Source organism: Homo sapiens, chromosome 3, assembly GCF_000001405.40.
Source record: "Homo sapiens chromosome 3, GRCh38.p14 Primary Assembly".
In the NCBI taxonomy this organism is placed as follows: Eukaryota; Metazoa; Chordata; class Mammalia; order Primates; family Hominidae; genus Homo; species Homo sapiens.
In genome coordinates this window covers 58,385,491-58,407,568 of record NC_000003.12, presented here as the reverse complement: position 1 = coordinate 58,407,568, position 22,078 = coordinate 58,385,491, and the positions used below count along the sequence as shown (strand labels likewise).

Sequence of the window (22,078 nt, the reverse complement as noted above, 5' to 3'; positions counted from 1 at the left end):
AAAGAAAAATAAATAAATAAATAAATAAATAAAACATTGGTGCAACAAAGAAAAACGGAGTAAAAGACAACTCAAGAAATGGGACACAATATTTGCAAATCATAGGTCTGATAAGGGGTTAATATCCAGAATATATAAAGGAACTCCAACAACTCAACAACAAAATATAAGTAACCCAATTAAAAAGAGGCAAAAGACATAGACATTTCTCTAAAGAAAATATACAAATGGCCAAAAAACATATGAAAAGACACTCAATGTCTTTAGTCATTAGAGAAATGTAAATCAAAACCACAATGAGACATCACCTCACAGCCATTAGGATAGCCACTATTAAAATAATAAAATAAATGTTGGTGAGAATGTGGAGAAACTGAAGCCCTTGTACACTGCTGGTGGAAATGTAGAGTAGTACAGCTGCTATGGAAAACAGTATGGAGGTGACTCAAAAAACTACAAAATGGAACTACCATATGAGGAATTCCACTTCTGGGTATACATCCAAAAGAATCAAAAGCAGGATCTCAAAAAGATATTTGCACACCCATGTTCACTGCAGCATTATTCATGACAGACAAGAGGTAAAAGCAGCCTAAATGTTCATCAACAGATGAATGGATAAAAAAAGTGTGGCATATACATACAATGGAATATTACTCAACCTTAAAAATAGAAGGAAATCTTGTTACATGTTACAATATAGATGAACCTTGAGGACATTATGCTAAGTGAAATAAATGATCCACAAAAGGACAAATACTTATATAAGGTTTCTAGAGTAGTCAAGATCACAGAAACAAAGTAGAATAGTGATTGCCCGGAGCTGTGGGGAGGGAGAAATGGGGAGTCATTATTCTATGGGTATAGAGTTTCAGGTTGTAAGCTCTAGAGACCTGTTATACAATAATGTGAAGATAGTTAACACCACTGAACTGTACACTTAAAAATGGTTCAGAGAGTAAATTTTATATTGTATTTTTTATCACAATTAAAAATTTAAAAATTAGGTCAGGCACAGTGGCTCACACCTGTAATCCCAGCACTTTGGGAGGCCACTTGGGGCCAAGAGTTCAAGACTAGCCTGGGCAACAGTAAGACTCTGTCTCTACAAAAAAATTAAAAAATTAGCAGGGTGTGGTGGTACGCGCCTGTTGTCCCAGCTACTCAACAGGCTGAGGCAGGAGGATTACCTGAGCTCAGGAGTTTGAGGCTGCACTGAGCCCCGTCATTGCACCACTGCACTCCAGCCTGGCAACAAAAAATCGCCTACTTCAAAAAAAAAAAAATTAAAATTAAAAATTAAAAAAATTGGCCGGGTGCAGTGGCTCACACCTGTAATCCCAGCACTTTGGGAGGCCGAGGTGAGTGGTTCACCTGAGGTCGAGACCAGCCTGACCAACATAATGAAACCCCATCTCTACTAAAAATACAAAAATTAGCCAGGCGTGGTGGCGCATGCTTGTAATCCCAGCTGCTCAGGAGGCTGAAGCAGAATTGCTTGAACCCAGGAGGCGGAGGTTGCAGTGAGCCGAGATCATGCCATTGTACTCCAGCCTGGGTGACAAGAGCGAGACTCCGTCTCAAAAGAAAAAAAAATATTTAAAAAATTATATAAAGCTTATTGGAACATACATAAATTCAACCAGTTATTATAACTTCAGAGATATCTTCTTTGTGAGAGATTTATGTTCTGAATTTTGTAAGATTAAACTTTCCCAGCTTTCCCTGTTGGGAGACATTCCAAACAACAGCCCAGTTTGTTTCTGAGCCTATCATTTCTTTTTTTTTTTTGAGACAGAATCTCACTCTGTTCCCCAGGCTGGAGTGTACCGGCATGATCTCAGCTCACTGCAACCTCTGCCTCCATCATTTCTCCTTTTTTTTTTTTTTGAGACAGAGTCTCACTCTGTCGCCCAGGCTGGAGTGCAGTGGTGTGCTCTCAGTTCACTGCAACCTCTGCCTCCCAGGTCTAAGCAATTCTCCTGCTTCAGCCTCCCGAGTAGCTGGGATTACAGGCACCTGCCACTAAGCCTGGCTAATTTCTGTATTTTTAGTAGAGATGGGGTTTTGCCATGTTGGCCAGGCTGGTCTGGAACTCCTGACCTCAAATGATCCACCTGTCTCAGCCTCCCAAAGTGTTGGGATTACAAGCGTGAGCCACCACGCCCGGGCCATTTCTTAATTTATTAGCTTTTTAAATCATGAGGAGTCTGGTCCTGGAAGATAAGACCCCCAGATCATGTTGAACTTTTTGTCTTTATTATTCTGTAAAAATTTCAAATTAAAAAAAAAGCTGTAAGTAGGTAATACAGTCACATGGTTTAAAATCCCAAAGGTATAAAAGGGCACATACACAGTGAAGTCTCCCACCTACTTCCATGGAGGAAACCAACATTACCAGTCTCCTGTATATCTTTCCAGAAAGTCAGTGTACATACAAGAACTAATGTTGGATTTTAAAATCATACTATCTTTGCTGCATAGGCTCTCTGGCTTAGGGGAAGAGCGAGGTCTAGTACTAACTCCTGAATCCTAAAGGCCAGACTGTCAGGGTTGGAGGAGAATATATTTATTGACAAGGCTGAAGAAATTTGCTAAGATGCTTCAGTGAAGAAGACATTAAATTTAAATGTTTTTTTCTCTCCTACTTCAGATCCAAAGAAGCTATTATTGTCAGAATTCCTCTAACTGGCAAAACAGAACAGAGGAAAGCACCTCTCTCACTGACACAGTCTTCTAAACCCTCCCTTGGTTTTCTTTCTTTTTTTTGTTTTCTAAATTTATTTTCATCCTAATAGTATTACATGTTCTTTTGGAATATAGAAAGGAGAGGGAGAATTACCTTTTATCCTCCTACCCAAATCGCACTCATAGTGAGCACTGCCAAGAGCCATGGCCTGAACAAGGAGTTTCCGTAGATGACCTCAGTTGTCTAATGACAACAGACATGCATTACTCACCAATTTTACACATGAGTACATGCAGACTCAAAGATTAAGTGCTTGCCCATAGGTCAGTAGCTCTCAACTGGGAGCAATTTTGTACACTACCCCCCAGGAGACATTTAGCAATGTCTGGAGACACTTTTGGTTGTCACAGTGCAGGAGAGGGGGCAAGGAGTATCGTTGGCATCTAGTGGTGAGGTTAGGGATGCTGCTTCACATCCTACCGTGCACAGGCAGCCCTCACAACAAAGAATCATCTCACCCAAAACGTCAAATACCGTGGTTGAAAAACCCTGCTGTAGATAACAGCTAATATTGTAGGAACAAAGTAAGATATCATTCTGGTTTTTTGGGTTCCGAAGCCCATTCTCTTTCCATGACACATAACACCACTGCTTCCCAGGAGAAGACCTCCTTCCAGGCTTGTTTCTAGACAGATATGTTGTTTTACACATTACCTTATTTTTTTATACCTAAGCACAAATCTAAATCATTTTCCATATTACTACAATGTCTTTATCAATTTCACTTTTAATTATATTATCAAATAGATGTACCATAAATTATTAAACTAGCCCCTAATTGTAGGACATTTAGGTTATTTCCCAATTTTCCCTATTATATATCTTTTCTTTTTTTGGCTAAAAATACAGCTAACTTTCAAAGTCAACTTAGTTATGTCACAAACCAAAAAACGATATAATTGTCTTTACCTTAAACTGTGGTTTTTCAGAAGTGGTTAGTAAAACATCGCTGAATAATCTGTAAAGAAAAGAAACAAACAAAAATCTTTCTTGAACCACGTGCACTCTCAGACTAGGATGAAAGCAGATTAAGACACCTTTAGCCCATGAGGTCTCCCTTCCCTGCACCACATCCTCCAGCCCCTGGCCCAATCCACCATTCCATGTTCATTAACAAATGCAAAGGGATTTGCAGGTGGCCCAGTGTGACCCCCTTCCCACTGTGTTACTAGGGTATCTGGGCCAGCTGTGTACTAGAGGGGGTTTCCCTGCTATGGGCAATATTGCATTTTTAAGAAATTACTTTTGCGAATGCTAATTTGCAAAAATATCGCAAATAATATATGCGGTAGATATTTCTAAATAGAATAGTTTTCTGCTATTTTTCTTGCCTCAGAAGAGGATAAAATTTATTCTAGAGTTCAGTAACATAAAAATGTTCAAGTAAGTAGAAAGGAATTGTCCTGATTGGAATCTAACAGGAAAGTAATTTTCTTCTAAGTATTTCTCATACTTCATTTTTAAAAGTAGTAGCTTTTGGAGTAAATCAATTCTCTCTTCAAAAATATGTTACTGGCTGGGTGCGGTGGCTCATGTCTTGTAATCCCAGCACTTTGTGAGGCTGAGGCAGGCGGATCACTTGAGGTCAGGGTTTCGAGACCAGAGTGGGCAGCATGGTGAAACCCCATCTCTACTAAAAATACAAAAATTAGCCGGGTGTGGTGGTGCGTGCCTATTGTCCCAGCTACTTGGGAGGCTAAGGCAGGAGATTCCCTGGAACCCAGGAGGCAGAGGCTGCAGTGAACCGACATTGCACCACTGCACTCCTGCCTGGGCAACAGAGCAAGACTCCATCTTAAAAAAAAAAAAAAGGGTATGTTATTGCAAAAAAGTAAACAACAGACACCGGGTCTATTTAGGGGGAGAGGTGGGGAGAGCAGCAGAAATACTAAATATTGCGTACTGGGCTTAATAGCTGGGTGATGAAATATGTACAACAAACCCCCATGACATGTTTACCTATGTAGCAAACTTTCGCATGTACCCCCACACCTAAAAGTTAAAAATAAAAATAATAAAAAATGATTTTAAAATTACCCATGTGACCAAAAAAAAAAAAAAAAAGTATATTATTAAAAACAATAGCATGGGCCGGGTGCAGTGGCTCACACCTGTAATCTCAGCACTTTGGGAGGCTGAGGCAGGTGGATCACCTGAGGTCAGGAGTTCAAGACCAGCCTGGCCAACATGGTGAAAACCCTGTTTCTACTAAAAATACAAAAACTAGCCGGGCATGGTGGCACGCACCTGTAGTTCCAGCTACTCGGGAGGCTGAGGCAAGAGGATCACTTGAACCCGGGAGGCGGAGCTTGCAGTGAGCCAAGATCACACCACTGCACTCCAGCCTGGGTGACAGAGCAAGACTCTATCTAAAAAAAAAAAAAGAAAAGAAAAGAAAAAAACAATAGCATGAACTGGGTGACCTGGGCACAGTGGCATTCGCCTGCAGTCCCAGCTACTCCACAGCTAGAGGTGGGAGGACCCTTTGAGCTCAGGAGTTTAAGATCAGCCTGCATAACATAGCAAGACTCTCAAAAAGAAGAAGGGGGGAGAGAGAGGGGGAGGGGGAGTGCGAGGGGGAGGGAAAGAAAAGAGGAGAAGAGAGGAGGAGGAGAGGGAAAGAGGGAAAGCAATAGCATGAACAACTCTGAACTGCTGGGTAAAACAGGTCAAAGAATAGAAATGGTTGCTTGGGTAGCACCCAAACAGCTATAAGTGAGTCTTTCTTTGAATATGCCTCCTGCCCCTCCCCTATTTTTTAAAGAGATGGAGTCTTGTTATGTTGTCCAGGCTGCCCTGGAAGTCCTGGGCTCAATCAATCCTCCCATCTTGGCCTCCTGAGTAGCTGGAACTACAGGCATGTGCCAGTATGCCTGGCTGAATATCCTGCGCCCCCAGTTTGTTTTATTTTTTATTTTATTTTATTTTTTTGAGATGGAGTCTCACTCTGTCGCCCAGGCTGGAGTGCAGTGGCGCGCTCCAGTGCAAACTCCGCCTCCTGGGTAGCTGGGACTACAGACGCCCGCCACCACGCTCGGCTAATTTTTTTGCATTTTTAGTAGAGACAGGGTTTCACCGTGTTAGCTAGGATGGTCTGGATCTCCTGACCTTGTGATCCACCTGCCTTGGCCTCCTAAAGTGCTGGGATTACAGGCATGAGCCACCACGCCTGCCCCTCACTTTGTTTTATTTTTGAGACAGGGTCTTACTCTGTCATCTAGGCTGGAGTGCAGTGGTGAGTTCACAGCTCACTGCAACCTCAAATTCCTAGGCTCAAGCGATTCTACCACCTCAGCCTTCCAAGTAGCTGGGATTATTACTTGGTGCACACCACCACGCCTAGCTAATTTTGTTGTTGTTGTATTTTTTGTAGAGATGGGGTTTCGCCATGTTGGCCAGGCTGGTCTTGAACTCCTGAGCTCAAGTGATCCACCTGCCTCAGCCTCCCAAACTGCTGGGATTATAGGTGTGAGCCACCGCGCCCAGCTATATTACTCTTTTTTAAAGATGGGAACTTCATCACAAGTAGAAATGACAGGATTAGCTTTCCCCACAGGGCTCTTCAGGGCCCCGCCTGTCCCTCAGCCACACATCTCTTTACTTCCAGAGGACACATTTTAATTGAACATGGTTTACGCCTGTCCAGGAGCTCTTCTCATAGCTGAAGCCCACATCGTAGAAAGACTTAGGTGAAGAAAAAAATATTTGGATTCACTTAAGGACTGGAAGACTGAGAGAAAGATGTAAGAGCTTTGGAATGGGGAGTGTAAATGCAAACTCAAGTAAATCAACCTGTATATAGGCTATTTCCTAAGTACAAGTGCATTTTGCTAGAAAAGTTTGTGTGAAAGTTGTTTTCCAAACTGGGTCTGTTTTTCCATATTCACATTGTTTGTTTTGTTTTGAGACGGAGTCTTGCTCTGTCACCCAGGCTGGAGTGCAGTGCTGAGATCTTGGCTCACTGCAACCTCTGCCTCCCCAGTTCAAGTGATTCTTCTGCCTCAGCCTCCTGAGTAGCTGGGATTACAGGAGTGTGCCACCATGCCCAGCTAATTTTTTATATTTTCTTAGTAGAGACAGGGTTTCACCACACGTTGGCCAGGATGGTCTTGAACTCCTGACCTCAAGTGATCCACCCGCCTCAGCCTCCCAAAGTGCTGGGATTATAGGCATGAGCCACTGCCCGGCCCACATTATTACATTATTATTAATGGTTGCTGGTTTGGCGACAGACGCTTCAGTGTCTGTGGAACAGTAGAATGTCACATCCACGGGGCAGGGGCTTGGTTTCCTCTTTTCATTACAGTGCCTAGGACAGCAGCTGGCCTCCAGAAGGCCCTCTCTAAACACTTGTGGAAAGAAAGAACCAGGAACCGGAAGTTATCTCTACCTTCTCTGAACTCTGGCTACATGCCCTTCAAGCTGTCCCCTGCCTCGTTTCCCCATATTATTGTTTTCAGAGTATATCTGTTATATAATACGCTGGTGCAGACAAAGCACCAGATACACTGCATGGTGTGTGATATTCAAAAAAGATCAGCTGATTCAGTAGTAAGCATAACTAACACTTAATGAGCACATATTAAGTGCCGGGTCCCTACTAGGAATCACCTCATTAAATCCTCCCAACTACCTTCTGAGGTGGGAACTTATTATCATTCCCATTTCACAGTTCACAAAACTCTACTTCCAGAGGTTAGGAAATTTGTCTAAGGTCACCCAGGTAGAAGTGGTGAAGCTGGAATCCACCTCCAGGTCTGTCCCACCCCAGGCACACCCTTCTTAACCACTCTGCTGCCTTTCCATGAAAGAACAGAAAATGCACCTGAAGGGAAGGCCCCACAGCACTATTTCAGCTGCCCTGGTTATCTACTCATAATCCAGTTTCAGAGAAAATGTCTTCTGAGCTCCAAGACCCTAGAACAGTGCCTGGTACATGCTAGAGTTTAATAAATAGTACCCAGTGAGTAAATTCACAAGCAGAAGCATGGGTGCTCAGAAACACGTTGCCCTCTTCCTGGAGGGCAGACCCTTCAAGGCCCTGTGACTTGTGAACTATGCACAGCTGGGGGCCAACTGGTTTGCTGATGCAGGGTCAGAAAGGAGCCACTTGAGAGGGCCCTCCTTCAGTATTTCCTAAGCTGGGGGCTGCGACACATACGCACACCCAATGCTAATGTACGTACACACAATGCTAACGCTGAGTGAGGAGATACACGTGAAAATGACACAGATGTTAAAGGATAGCCATCAGACCAGGAGAGCACAGAGGTCACAAACAAAGGGTGAGGATATCATGCTGCAAGTGCCCATCAGCAAGCAGGCCACGCCAACTCTGCAGGGACCGCAAGAATCTTTACTACAGTACCAGGTGCTTGGACACAGTGGTCTGGTGTTCAACATAGTTATCAAGATTACAACCAACGCATATGATTGACTTACGGCATCTGTAAGAGCCGGGAGATGGTAGGCATGCCATTTTTACAGGCTTCACAAGACAGCGTAGACTCCAACACGGCCACTTGAAATGAACAGATACACATTTTAGTTCCACAGAACACGCTGGCAAATCCACTTGCTGATGAAAAGTTTAACACCACTTTGCAATAACTGTCTGCGGGCTGATCAGGACAGTGTCAAAAATCTTCACACACAGACAGATGGCATACGTGGGGTGGGGGAATGCTGGCAACACTGGCGTTACCGATGACTCAAAAGAAATGGTTTAGAAACTACATGCTGACAGAAAGCTAAATATATTTCAAAGATAACTGGAGGAAGGATTCAAGATATCATTCATAAAAGTGTTTGTTCTCTTGAAAGAGATGTAAACACTACACAGAAGTAAAATTCTGAACTTGAAAGACATTTTGCTGCTTGCCTGCTTTTCATCAAAACCAGCACACAAAATGCCAATTGTTGATATCTCATCATCCAACACCTTGGATGCTATTAACAGGAGCAGCCAGATTTTTCTACCCACAGGTCACTGTTCAGTTTCAGCGGTTCAAATTCAACACAATATAGTCCCAGGGCCTGTTCTCTTGAATTGCCTCTTTTGACACAATAACGCTTGGTGAAGGGTGGACTTGAGTATCTCCAAGGCACAGGGGTCCAAGAGCCACCCTGCCCTCCCCTCTCTCTGCTCCAGCTGTGGGTGCCAGCCTGGCTGTGGAGGGGATGAAAGGGTCCTGGATGAGTCTGTACCAGTTCCTGCATCCCTCCTTCCTAAAGGTGCTCTCACTTGTCCTCCAGCTCCCCTCAGCCCCCGCAGGTAATGCTGTAAGAGCTCCTGGATCCAATTTGTCTTGGTGTCTGCATTCCTGCCTGCCTGCCCTAGGTCTGGGCCTGCTAGGCTCTTATCTACTAGGCTTCTGGCCTATGGCATTCTTGTTTTGTTTTGTTTTCGTTTGAGGCAGAGTCTTACTGTGTCGCCCAGGCTGGAGTGCAGTGGCGCAATCTCGGCTCACTGCAACCTCCACCTCCCAAGAGGCGGGTTCAAGCAATTCTCGTGCCTCAGCCTCCCAAAAAGCTGGGATTACAGGCATGCACCTCCACGCCCAGCTAATTTTTGTAATTTTAGTACAGATGGGGTTTCATTATGTTGGCCAGGCTGGTCTCAAACTCCTGACCTCATGTGATCCACCCACCTCGGCCTTCCAAAGTGCTGGGATTACAGGTGTGAGCCACCATGCCTGGCCTCTCTTGTTTCTTACAAGTCTCACTTCAGTCTTGATCTGACGTCTGACACCTGCCTGGGTCCTCAAGACTGGCTTCAAGTTGCCTGGCTCTAGCTTCTGCATCACACTCATGCAGGCCATACTTCTCTTTACATCCTCCTGCTTCCAAAGCTCTAAAGCATTTTGCAAAAAGTTCCCAGAAATTTCAGATAGCCTGGCAAATGGACAAGCCACCTGAATTTTCACAGAAGTGTATTTAAGTAAACTACTCAAATTTGGTCTACTTTTAAATTTTGTAAGAATTTCTGGCTGTGGAGGACAGCAACTTCCTCTGGGTCTTTCCTGGACTCTGGAAAGGGGATGAGTGGCTCTGCACACTACTAGGGCCCAGAAGACCCTTCCCAACCCCATACTGACCCACAGCCATGGACGGGGCAGGAGGGAAGGAGTCCACAGGCACCGAGTCTGGCGGTCGTCCATAAGTCATTTCATACAGTAAGTGGCCAAAGCAGTGGACATCCACACTTTCCAATGTCTGTGGAAGAAAGAGTAGCAGCGTGTTCACCCTTCACTTTGGCTTTGTGGACCCTCGCGCTCCTGCCCCAAGGCTTCTCTGAGAAACAAAGCCCAGGGATAGCCCCGTTCCTAATTGGTAACGTAAATGCAACTCCAAAGCCTTCTGTAAAACCTCATGAGGTATCCCAAAGGTCTTGGTCCGACCCTCCACAGTTTTCCAATCAGTGAGTCCACCTCCCTCCTTACCCCACCCGCCATTTCAACTCAGCCTCCCAGAGATACAGCAACGCTGCAAGGGCTGACGGGCAAGGCCTGTCCCAACTATACCTTTCACTACTTGGTGCATATTTCCTACATGGGCAGATCATGGGGATAACTGACACCTAAAAATGAACCTGCTATTTCATTACTTTAGCAACTTACATTGATTTTCCTGAATTGTGAAAAATAAGATCGGTAGAAGGAAGGCAGGCCCAATAAGGAATTCTCAAGGTCCAGCAGCCGGCAAGTGTCCCCATCGAGCATCACATTGGAGGCGTGAAGATGCCCATAAGGGAATCCCTTGTCATGAAGAAACTTCAGTACCTATCAAAACATATGGGAAAGTTACATTTTCCCCAAACTCATTCAGATATAAGACAAGTTAAACTTTGTTTTTTAGTCAATATATTTTGAAACAAAACCAAACAGGTCACTGAGAAGATTCCTGAAGAAAAATGCCACCTCTACCCATTTGTTTGGAAAAGGAAGTGAAGCTGAATGCTTTCCAGTTTTGAGGCTGTGAGATGCAACATCAGTTCTTTCTTTCCTCAAAAGAATAGAGAAGCAGCCTGCATATGCTTGGAATTAATAACTCTGATGCCAAAAGGCTCTGCTTTAAGCACTTTCTGATTCCAATAGGCCAGCTCTCTTCAGGGCAAAGTCTTGATCCTCCTGCATAGATGAGTGAAGCTATCTTATCAGTGCTTCTGCCAGTAATTCAGAAAAAGGGGTTGAACTAGAAAACATCTCTAGTTCAGTCTCTCCTCCAAATATATTTAGCTGTTTATTAATAGGAACACACAACAGGATCCCAGAAAAAGCAGTAAATATTTCCGCTGCCATATAAATAATCAGTGGCTTACCCAGTAAGAGAGATGCTTAGATATAGCCCTGCAATGTCCTGGTGAACTAGAGCAGTGATAGGCAAGTGGGGTGCCCAGAGCAATTCACTAAGGACTAGAAGAAAATATTACAACTTCTCTTCATAGTTGTTGTTTTTTAAAAATGTTATTTTTTTAACTTATAATATACAAAATATATTACTAGTATGCTGTCTCCATCCAAACAAATATAATATATATACACACATACACATATATGTATGTGCATAGTACACGCATATAATTTATAGTTAAATAGACATAACATTGGGATATTAAATTGGTTATTACTGATAAGGTTGCATAATCCCAGAAGCTTGGAGAATCCTGATCTAGAGGGTGATGTCGGAAAGCCTTCTCACTGTTGGTTATACTTCTGTAAGGGAGCCATATGGCTATGCATATGACATAACAAAATCAAAAACCTTGGCATGGGGATAAAGAGCAACCAAAGATAATATAAAAGTTGGTATCCACACAGTAAAGTTCTTAAAACTCAGACACTAAATTGCAATAGCTAAAGCTTTAAGAATTTTGTAGACATAAGTGACTGTTGCCTTAGTCTCAAATATTTACTTTTTGAGGCAAAATATGACAATGCAATCAGTTTATAAGTAATCAGACAACTTAAGTAATTTTGGATATTACTTAAGAACTTTTCCAGGTGAATAATGCAATTTTGGATGAAATCTGAATGCAACTTAAACAAAAGTACCTCTTACCTCTAATATTTGCCGTCCATATGTTTTTATTTGCTGGAGTTCCAGGCCCTGAATCTTCTTAGGGTTGCAGTACTTCTTTAGAAATGGGTCTTTTGGTTTTGCCTTTGGAAAAGAACAAAGAACACGTAAGAAAGCAGCAGAGGGGCCAATATCTGCACACAGACTCCCTGACCAGGCAGGATTCTACAGAGGCTAGGGGCGCCAGAGATGGCCAGCTGCAAGATGTGAGTTTTTAAAATACGACAGTCTGCATTGTTGATAGAAAGAGGCTGACCCAGGTTCCATCCCTTCTCTAGCCCAGTGAAGATGTGCCTGGTCTTGCCCTTAGCAGACCCCAAAGTCTTGCATATTGTTCGAATTCTTCAGAACTGCTTTGTTAAGCGCAAAACACAAACTTAAAAACTGACCTAAGAGAACAGCTTGCCATGTAATGGACATAATTATTAAATGTTCAACCTTTCCTCACATGGGAAAAGGAATGCTCTTTAACCAAACTAAGTAGAGTTTTTATTGCATGAATAAAAATAAATTCCAAATAAAATCAAAACTAACATCAAATCCTCAGGGCCTAGCCTCTGGAGTCTTAGAGACTAAGTATCAATAACAGGTTCTAAAGGAACTTGAGAATTCCTTATGACCATGAACTTGCACAGGTACCTTGTAGATCAGATCCTTCAATGTTCCCTTTTCGTTAAACATCCTAATTAGCAACGCTGAGGATTCATTAGCTGTGGCAAAGGTAACCCGATAGATGTAAGGGTGCTGTCAAAACAAAAAAGAAATTCACATTGATTTGCGTCAGGATCTAGGTCCTTTTAAATACAGGATCTGGTTATGCAGAGTCAAGTAGCACTGTGGTGGTTTAATTGCATACGAATGTAGTGATATTCCCTGAACACATGGCATTTTCAAGTTATTCAGTTACCAGCTAGTTCCTCCTTCTTCAGATGGAGGAAGGGACATAAACTGTAGGAACAAAGGAAAACAGGAGACAGATAATGGATGTGGTAAACTCCACAAGTGAAGGGGTCCTCTTTGGTGTGTGCACTCTCATAGCTCAGGCAAAAGTGTGGTGGAAGAGATAAAATGTCTGAGTTTTGAGGATAATAGTGTTAATATCCTGTCTCTGTAAGTCAGTAAAGAATACAGCCAAATCTCAGAACAGCCAAATGGAGACCAGGATCAATGTGTCTTTGCTCACAGCTTTGCCTAACATTCCACACTGCTGTTTGGGTGCCAAGCCAAGAAGCATACTAGCCAGAAAACAGGCAAAAGTAGCATCTTCTGGAATCTCAGCCCTTTCCACAGTAGCTGGCATGAATCTTCCTACCCTTCTATAGAATTCTGCAACATAAAGATTCACAGTGTCCTCCTCAGATGGAGAAACTGACATTAAGCAACTGGGGTGGAGAAAAGACAAATTATTTAATGAGTGAAAGGAAAGTGCTGTTTTTCCCTGGAATTCTGGTTACGTGAAACAAACTGGGTCCAGACAGGTATTACAATGTTCACTAGCTCAAAGGAGTATCATGAAAATTTAAACCCATGGGAGCTGAGCTATGCAGGGATTTTGGAGGCTGGCATGCAGCAGGTTGGGGGGTGGAAAGGTGTACCCAGGAAAACAGAGTAATTGATCATGAAGTTCTCCTGATCATCACATCAAAATGGTTGCTGCTGACTTTTTAACAGCTTTGTTGAGATATAATTCACATGCCATTACTATTCACACATTTAAACTGTACAAGTCAATGATTTTCAGTATATTCAGTTATACAACCATCATACAATCTAATTATAGAACATTTTCATCACCCCAAAAAGAAACACAATGGGTAGAATAAAAATCCTTGAGTACATACTAATATAAATTTTTTTAAAAGGGAGAAGAGAAGCTCTTTAGAGTAGAATGCCAACTAATAAGTAAATACGGAAGGAATAATAGAGTTAGAAAATCACATTAAATGTTAAAATGCTAGTGGGCTTCATAAAGAACAGAATATGTAGTGTCACAATATCTCCTTACACATTGGTTATTAATTATAGGTATTTACCTTAAGAAATTAAGTATGGGTATAATGTTTAGCAAAAATTGTTCATTATGGCTTTTTTCTTTTTTAAAAAATAAGAGCAAAAAGCTGGAGGTGATCTAAATGTCAATAGAAGATTGAGTAAACTAAGGTATAGCCAATGATAATTCTATACAGCCCATAATAATGATGCTATATTTACTAACAACTAAAGATGCTCATGGTACACCATTAATGAAAAAAAAATCAGGTTTTAAAGCACTACATATATAATTTACTTTTTTATCATAAAAATTCTTAAAAAGTAACAACTGAATATTTTGGTTCATACTTCTGTTTGACTGGGATTACTGGTGAGTTTTCTTTTCTTTTCTTTCTTTTTTTTTGAGACGGAGTCTGCTCTGTTGCCCAGGCTGGAGTGCAGTGGCACGATCTCGGCTCACTGCAAGCTCCGCCTCCCGGGTTCACGCCATTCTCCTGCCTCAGCCTTCCTAGTAGCTGGGACCACAGGTGCCCACCACCACGTCCAGCTAATTTTTTCTATTTTTAGTAGAGACAGGGTTTCACCATGTTAGCCAGGATGGTTTCGATCTCCTGACCTTGTGATCCATCCGCCTCAGCCTCCCAAAGTGCTGGGATTACAGGCATGAGCCACCACACTCGGCTTATTTTCTTATTTTTGCTTATCTGCCTTCTGACTTTGCTACAATTAATATGCACCATTTTTATGTGCTTCTTTTTTTAAAGAAGCACTTCTATTAAAAGAAATTTAGGGCCGGGTGCGGTGGCTCACACCTGTCATCCCAGCACTTTGGGAAGTCGAGGCAGGCGGATCATGAGGTCAGGAGTTCAAGATCTGCCCGGCCAACATGGTGAAACCCCATCTCTACTAAAAATACAAAAATTAGCTGGGTGTGGTGGCATGCACCTGTAATCCCAGCTACTTGGGAGGCTGAGGCAGGAGAATCGCCTGAACCCAGGAGGTGGAGGTTGCAGTGAGCCGAGATCGCACCACTGCATTCCAGCCTGGGTGACAAAGAGAGACTCCACCTTGAAAAAAAAAAAAAAGAAATTTAGAACTAGGTCCTGACAGCCTATGTCACACAACCAATCAAGCTCTAAGACTAAAGCGTCTTTTTGGCCTCACATTGCACCTCATTAATAGCTTGGTTTGCAAGCTTGACAAGACACTATATGGCCAAAAATAAACTTGCCAAACCAAGTGCACAAGTCAGTGTAATTGTGTTCAGTTCGCTAGTGATTCATTCCAGGGAACTACATCTTCATGCAGACAAGATAAAGAATGTCAATGTTAACTCAATTTCCTGGCCAGATTAGTCTTTGCTGAAGACATTCTGCACATATTTTGAAATATATCAACGTGGTTCTTTGCACTGAAGGCCCTGGATTAGAGCTGTGTAGTCGTGTAAATAATATCATGTATTCCTAAAGGTCATCTGGTTAGCCTGTGAAGGTAGTAACTCAGACAGAAAAATGGCTATTTTGCCTTTTCTTCACCCAGCTTATCTAAATTCCTCATTAGTTCTGTTTTCTCAGGCTGGAAAGAGTATCTTTCAGTTCCACTGAGATAAATACCTTCACCAAGAACAACAGGCTGGGAGAAGTAGCTGCTTCCCTACTCTCATCTTTGTTTAAAATTCAAAGTCTGTATTTAAATTACTATGTTTCATGGGTTGTGCAGATGTCATGAATGCCATTTCAAATAGCCTATGATCTAAGAGATTAGCCCTACACAATTTCAGTCTGACCTGAAATCCACTGTATCTCCCCATTCTGTTTTCCAGCTTTTCTGTCCATGTTCACCCAGAAAAAATACTGTGACTCTATCATCAGCACTGAGAATAAAAGAAAGACGTATACTCACCAAACAAGAAGGCAGAAGTTTGATTAGACACTGAAAATCTTTATCTGACAAATACTTGTCTGGGCCAAGGTCAGCCTGAAAACATGGAAGGGAATATCAGGGTACTGTTTTGGTCACCAAAAGAAAAATTCCTTGTCTTTCCCTTTAATTTTATTATCCAAAATATGACTGGAAACCAAAGACGAAAACAACACTAAGTCTGGCTGCCTCAAGACCTTTCTGGAGAAGCAGTGTGTAAAAATACCAGACTTAACTGTAATCTTATCTAATTCCACTAACCAAATCTATCACTAAAACTCTCAAAGTCAAAGAGATAAAGTAATGCCCAAGTATTTTTTTTTTTGGGAAGTAAACTCCAAAACTATAAACCCTAAAGAGATTCCAGAGAGTTATTTTAAGCTGTTCTTGTTTCTTTTCAAATGTTTACTAGTTGACCAAATATAATTGCATTTATATAACCAAATACACAGGAAAATGACTCAAAATGACTTTTCTTTGACATGGACCAAGGAAGCCTTTACATCATCACTTAAGAGCACAGTACAATTTTGTAATTCTCTTGTCAAATCTGCTTTCATTAACCCATCTAAAGTCACTGAAGGAGACCAAAGCAAAAAGCTAGCTTACCCAGCTTAACACTAGCCGTTCCTTTGGCTGATTTTTAATCTTCATCAAGAAATATTTCTTCCTTATTCTCCAACCTGCCATAAAAGCAAAAATGTGCTTAGAGCTGCACAATTTTTGCAACAACTGATATGTTTCACTGACTAGGTAATCAAGAAAAATTAAGTTTGGCAATATTATTCGCAGCTACATAGGCACAAGTAAAAGAACCATTTGATAACGTTGGCATAGTAAAGGCTATACTTAAAAAGAAACAGTAAATGAAGAAATTATTCACGGAAAAGGCAGGAAAGTAGCACTTCAGTTTAGATGTAGTGAAAAAGATAGATGAAGAAGGAATGGTGTTTCTGAAAGTTATTACCATCCAAATGCTTTGATGGGGCTTTAACCAAGGTTCATTAAGTATTAAAAGTTACCAGCTGTATCCTCAAGCAGTTGATATGCAAAAAGAAAAAGAAGTCACCTGCATTTAAGCATGTTCCTGGGATACGTATCAGAAAGCATGACTAAGGATCCAGTTCTGTGATCTGTCTTTTTAACAGAATGAGCGTGCCAATGTCTCACCTATGTCTTTCAAAGGTTCCACCACCTCCCACTTTGGTTCTGATCGGAAGAACATGGAAACCTGTTGCAAGGCAATCTCTGCAAAGACATTTTAGAAACCCATTAGTCAGACATATCAGGAAAGGGCCATATGCTGAAGATATTATTCTTGTAAATGAAATCCCTATAGTCTATGACCTTTTTAAAAAACTTAATTACCAAAAAAAAAATAATAATAAAGAAAGAAAATACACACAAACTAAATGCAATGTGGGATTTTAGATTGGACCCTGGAATAGAAAAAGTACACTAGCAGAAAAACTGGTAAAATCTGAATAAAGCCCATAGTTAATAGTAACATTACTAATATTCACTTCTAGTTTTGATAAATGTGCCATGGTTATATAAAATATTAACATTAGGAGAAACTGGGTGAGAAGTATATGGCAATTTTCTGTACTATCATTGCAACTTCTTTTGTTTAGTTTTGTTTTTTGTTTTTTGAGATAGGGTCTCACTCTGTTGCCCAGGCTGGAACTCAGTGGCACAATCATGGCTCACTGCAAACTCAACCTCCTGGGCTCAAGTGATCCTCCCACCTCAGCCTCCCGAATAGCTGGGACTACAAGCATGGGCCATCACGCCTGGCTAAATTGTTTTTTTTTTTTTTTTTTTTTTTTTGAGACGGAGTTTCACTCTTGTTACCCAGGTTGGAGTGCAATGGTGCGATCTCGGCTCACCGCAACCTCCACCTCCTGGGTTCAAGCAATTCTCCTGCCTCAGCCTCCTGAGTAGTTAGGATTACAGGCATGCGCCACCATGCCCAGCTAATTTTGTATTTTTAGTAGAAACGGGGTTTCTCCATGTTGTTCAGGCTGGTCTCGAGCTCCTGACCTCAGGTGATCCGCCCACCTCGGCCTCCCAAAGTGCTGAGACTACAGGCATGAGCCACTGCACCTGCCCGACGCCTGGCTAATTTCTGGTGCGTGTGGTTTTTTTTTTTGTTTGTTTTTGTTTTTTTTAGTGACAAGGTATTTGCCATCTCCACCCAGGCTGGTCTCAAACTCTTGGCTCAAGAGATCCGCCCATCTCGACCTCCCAAAGTGCTGGGAATACAACCACGAACCACTGCACGCAGCCCACTGCAATTCTATGTAAATCTAAAATTATTCTAAAATGTAAAGTTTATTTTAAAAATTATTAATAATGTGAAAATGTATATTTTTCAAAACTGGAAAATCTAAAATATGTAATCTAGCTGGTCTAAGCCAAGAATTCAATATATGCACCAGACCACAACCCAAGCCCAAAACTCAAAACATGTTCTAAAGTCAGCTGGAAACAGTATTTAATGTTGCTCCAAGTACTATTTATCCCATCTGGAATTATAGCTTTCATCAACAAAAAAGTGATTAGCCTTAAATATATACTAGAAATAAAAGCCAGTGTACAGCAACAACATGGTTCTATTGTGGAAAGTCTCCGAGTGCCTGTTTACTGGGAAAAAAAAATCCATCCTCTTTTTCTGTTCATTTATCATGAAAATGTTTCCCCCTTTTAAGAAGACAATGAGAAAGGAAGTTCTTTAAAGTTCTTTGCATTAAGAAATTATGAAAATAGCTGTGCTTTTACATTTCCTGTAAAAAGCAACATCTGTAATTTGCCATTTCCCCTCATTGCAGTGAGTAAATGAAGCCATTCCAGATCCCTGAAAGCAAACAGCAATCCTCCAAATGCACTGTGGAATTTCAGTTCTGCCTAGCATTAATTACATTCCAAGCAGACTGGTGAGGCATGAGGGATTCAGTAGAAATGCTCTCCATATGTCAAAATGACCTTGTTTAGAATTCACATGTCAAGAGCTTGGCAAACAATATCATTTGGATATATTTTATAGTACATTTTGAGTTAAGAGATCAGGGAAGAAAACAATTTACTAGCTATTTGTTTACTGACTCAATATGTAAAGTGTCATTGGCATCTACTCAGAAGAAAACATGTGATGTGATATGTGATGACCAAATACAAAACTGGCTCCATTCACATTTGTTCTAACTACCCCAGAGTGTGACAAACCATCTGGAAGATCTGGGTGCAGCAGAAACACACAGACTTTCATTATCAACACTGGGAACTTTGTACTTCTTCTATAATTCATGTTAATATAAAGTGTTTTTAGTATTTCCAAAGTAACTCGAACATAAAGAAACTTAAAAGGAAATTAAGTGAAAATCATTCATATCAACTTTGAGAAGGAGCATGAAAAATAATTCTCTAATGTGTACAATGTCATTCTAAAAGACCGACAGTGACACGGAATTCCCTACAAAATCATTATTCAGCAATATCTACTGTATGCTACTATGTGCCATACATTGTTTTAGGAACAGGGGAAATAGCTGTGAACAGATGGAACATACTGGATTTCTCACTGATAAACTGAGGACTGTGAAATAGCTTTTTTCACTTAGGGTCAGGGAATTGGAGAAAGGATAATTTCTTCCCACTGAACTGTGATTTACTGTCAAATAAACTGCATGACTATCATGTGCCAAATAATAACCCCCTCCTTCCCCAGACTCGGGCAACACATTTCAGTCCTAAACATCTACTCCTTTGCTTAGAAGCCTTTACTGGTTCCCCACTTCCTTGCCCAAATCAAGACCAAACATAAACCGAGTGTTCAACCAACCTCTGGCTTTAACCTACCTTTCTGGCTTTATCTCCCACAGTGTGTGGGGTCTCTCTGCACTCTGAGATTTGCCTACCATGGCCCCTAAAGACTGGCCTGCCCCCACTCCCTCAGCATTTTCCATCTGGCCCAGACTCAGCCCAGATGTTCTGCTCCATTAGCCAGGACTCTCTCCCTCTCTCCTTCTTTCTCTCCTCTGTACACTCCCAGTGCTCTGTGTGTCCCTCTCTTATGCGATTACCTGTGAATGTCCTCTATTAGGGCTACTCTCTTCCACCTAGACTGTATGCTCTGGCTGGAAGGGTAAAGCCAGGATATATCTTCTCAAGCTGCTCTGCCCAGAGCACTGGCCACTGCCTCTCGGCCTGGCTACCTTCTACTCACCCCTCAGATCTCCGTGTAGGAATGAACTCTTCTGGGAAGCCTTCCTTCAACTTTAGGTGTGGATCATCCATGCCCCCGCCTCCTTCCCCAAGGTGCTCCCTAACATTTACTCTGCCACAGCCATCACCTGTCAATCTCCCTGTGTAACTGTCATGGAGTAGGAACTGGGGAAATTATTCTTTCCTCCTGGCTGCATACATAGCACATGGCACACAGTAGATGCTCAATAAATATCTGATGAAGCAGGAACCAAGGGTTCAATTGTGTTCAGCAGATGTGGAAACTCTCTCCCATTAGAACATGAAATCCATGAGAAGGAAGGCATCTGCCCTCTAGTTCTGACACAGGAACTGACTGACACATGTGGAAAAACTGCATGCTCAGAAAGTGCTGATAAACAAGCTGGAGACAGGAAATGGAGAGCACAGCCTTCAAGTCCATCCTGTACTTCCCACAGAGCTCAGTTGTACCAGGCGCCCCCAGTGCGAGCAGTCATTGAATTCCTGGATCGCAGCCCCATGGAATGACTGCAGGGAACAAACACTGACTCCTCTAGGACTGGAGCTAGGGTCCAGACTCCTAGTCCACCACAGCAGATTGCACTGCAGAAAGGCCTGCAACCTCACCAAATACCCTGCTGTTGTTCTAAATATAGTCCTCTTTCCCCACTCTCTCCCTTTTTATATCCCAGAGTCCACTACTTTCCTACCTTTTCAAGGGATTCCTGGGGCTTTAGGCCTAAAAGGGGAACTTCAGCACTCCCTGCTCTATTCCCCCTCCCCAGCCTCTTGTTTTATAGGTCAGGATGTGGGCCCACTGAGAGGAAATGCTGCTAATGACAAAGCTGGGACCATGATACAGGCCTCTTGATTTCTGGTTCAAATGACTTTTGCATGGACATTAAAACCCCCTTACTCCAAGAGGGTATAAGGACTGAGGCAGGAAGATGGCTACAGTGCAGTGAGGCTTTTAAATGATAGAAGTACCTTGTTAAAAAGATGAATATTGTAGGCCAGGTGCAGTGGCTCATGCCTGTAATCCCAGCGCTTTGGGAGGCCGAGGTGGGCGTATCACAAGGTCAGGAGTTCAAGACCAGCCTGGCCAACATCGTGAAACCCCATCTCTACTAAAAATACAAAAAAATTAGCTTGGCATGGTGGCAGGTGCTTGTAATCCCAGCTACTCGGGAGGCTGAGGCAGGAGAATCACTTGAACTGGGGGGCTGAGGTTGCAGTGAGCCAAGACCACGCTACAGCACTCCAGCCTGGCCAACAGAGTGAGATTCTGTCTCAAAAAAAAAAAAAAAAAAAAAAAGTAAGGGGGATATATGTGTGAGATAGATTCTCAACACAAACTTCTCAGGACCAGGAGATACCTGTTTTCCCTGCACAACAGCTGGCCCTCAATTAGACTTTCTAATTCAAATGAACACCTCACAACTCCCTCACAGAAGACCAAGGGTCTACATTTCCTTTCTGAGGATTGGCTCTTCTGGAGAAAACCTGGAAAAGAAAGAAAGGCTCAGCAGTCCCAGGCTGGGGACCCAGGGAAGAGAGAAGGAAGCTGCCAATGTCCTGAGAGCTCCCAGTTAGCCATCCCCTGGGAGCAGAATGCCATCACAGTCCCCCTCCAACAAGACACCCTCACCCTCCATCAGAGCAAGGACCAGGAAAAGTGCTCTGCTGATTCTGGCCACCACTTGAACACAGAACTCAAATCCTGCTGAAATGAAGCTGGGTGGTGACTGCAGACCATGTGGAAAATGAGAAGAGGTGGAGACATTATCCACATTAAAAGGGAAAAGTGGGCCAGGCACAGTGGCTCATGCCTGTAATCCCAGCACTTTGGGAGGCTGAGGTGGGCAGATCATTTGAGCTCAAGAGTTTGAGACCAGCCTAGTCAACATAGTGAAACCCCCTCTCTACAAACAATGAAAAAATTAGCTGGGCATGGTGGTGTGCACTTGTAATCCCAGCTACTCAGGAGGCTGGAGCGCAAGGATCACTTGAACCCAGAAGGTCACGGCTGCACAGAGCTGGGATAGTGCCACTGCGCTCCAGCCTGGGCAACAGAGTGAGACCCTTGCTCAAAAAACAAACAGGGAAAGCGGCCCT

The 22,078-nt window shown here is 42.4% G+C and overlaps 1 protein-coding gene across 60 annotated transcripts in view, besides 1 other annotated feature; it reads right to left on the bottom strand.

Moving 5' to 3' along the window:
• PXK (PX domain containing serine/threonine kinase like) overlaps positions 1-22,078 on the bottom strand; it is a 93,236-nt gene that overhangs the window by 18,559 nt on the left and 52,599 nt on the right. For all 60 annotated transcript variants that reach the window (NR_146194.2, NR_146193.2, NM_001349528.2 and 57 more), the window contains 9 exons: positions 16,910-16,987; positions 16,349-16,422; positions 15,722-15,796; positions 12,467-12,571; positions 11,810-11,911; positions 10,369-10,530; positions 9,847-9,964; positions 8,192-8,270; positions 3,659-3,707 (listed from right to left, as the gene is read on the bottom strand). Coding sequence is in view for 58 of the 60 variants with exons in the window: in NM_001349528.2 (NP_001336457.1) it covers positions 3,659-3,707; positions 8,192-8,270; positions 9,847-9,964; positions 10,369-10,530; positions 11,810-11,911; positions 12,467-12,571; positions 15,722-15,796; positions 16,349-16,422; positions 16,910-16,987 (842 nt within the window). In the remaining 2 variants the exon portion in view is untranslated. The remainder of the gene's footprint in view (positions 1-3,658; positions 3,708-8,191; positions 8,271-9,846; positions 9,965-10,368; positions 10,531-11,809; positions 11,912-12,466; positions 12,572-15,721; positions 15,797-16,348; positions 16,423-16,909; positions 16,988-22,078) is intronic.
• Positions 9,564-10,063: an enhancer, noted in NCBI's record as "H3K27ac hESC enhancer chr3:58383233-58383732 (GRCh37/hg19 assembly coordinates)". NCBI's record gives its function as "activates a minimal SCP1, AML or CMV promoter by ChIP-STARR-seq in primed H9 embryonic stem cells {active_cell/tissue: H9 hESC(primed)}" and the evidence as "EXISTENCE:reporter gene assay evidence [ECO:0000049][PMID:30033119]".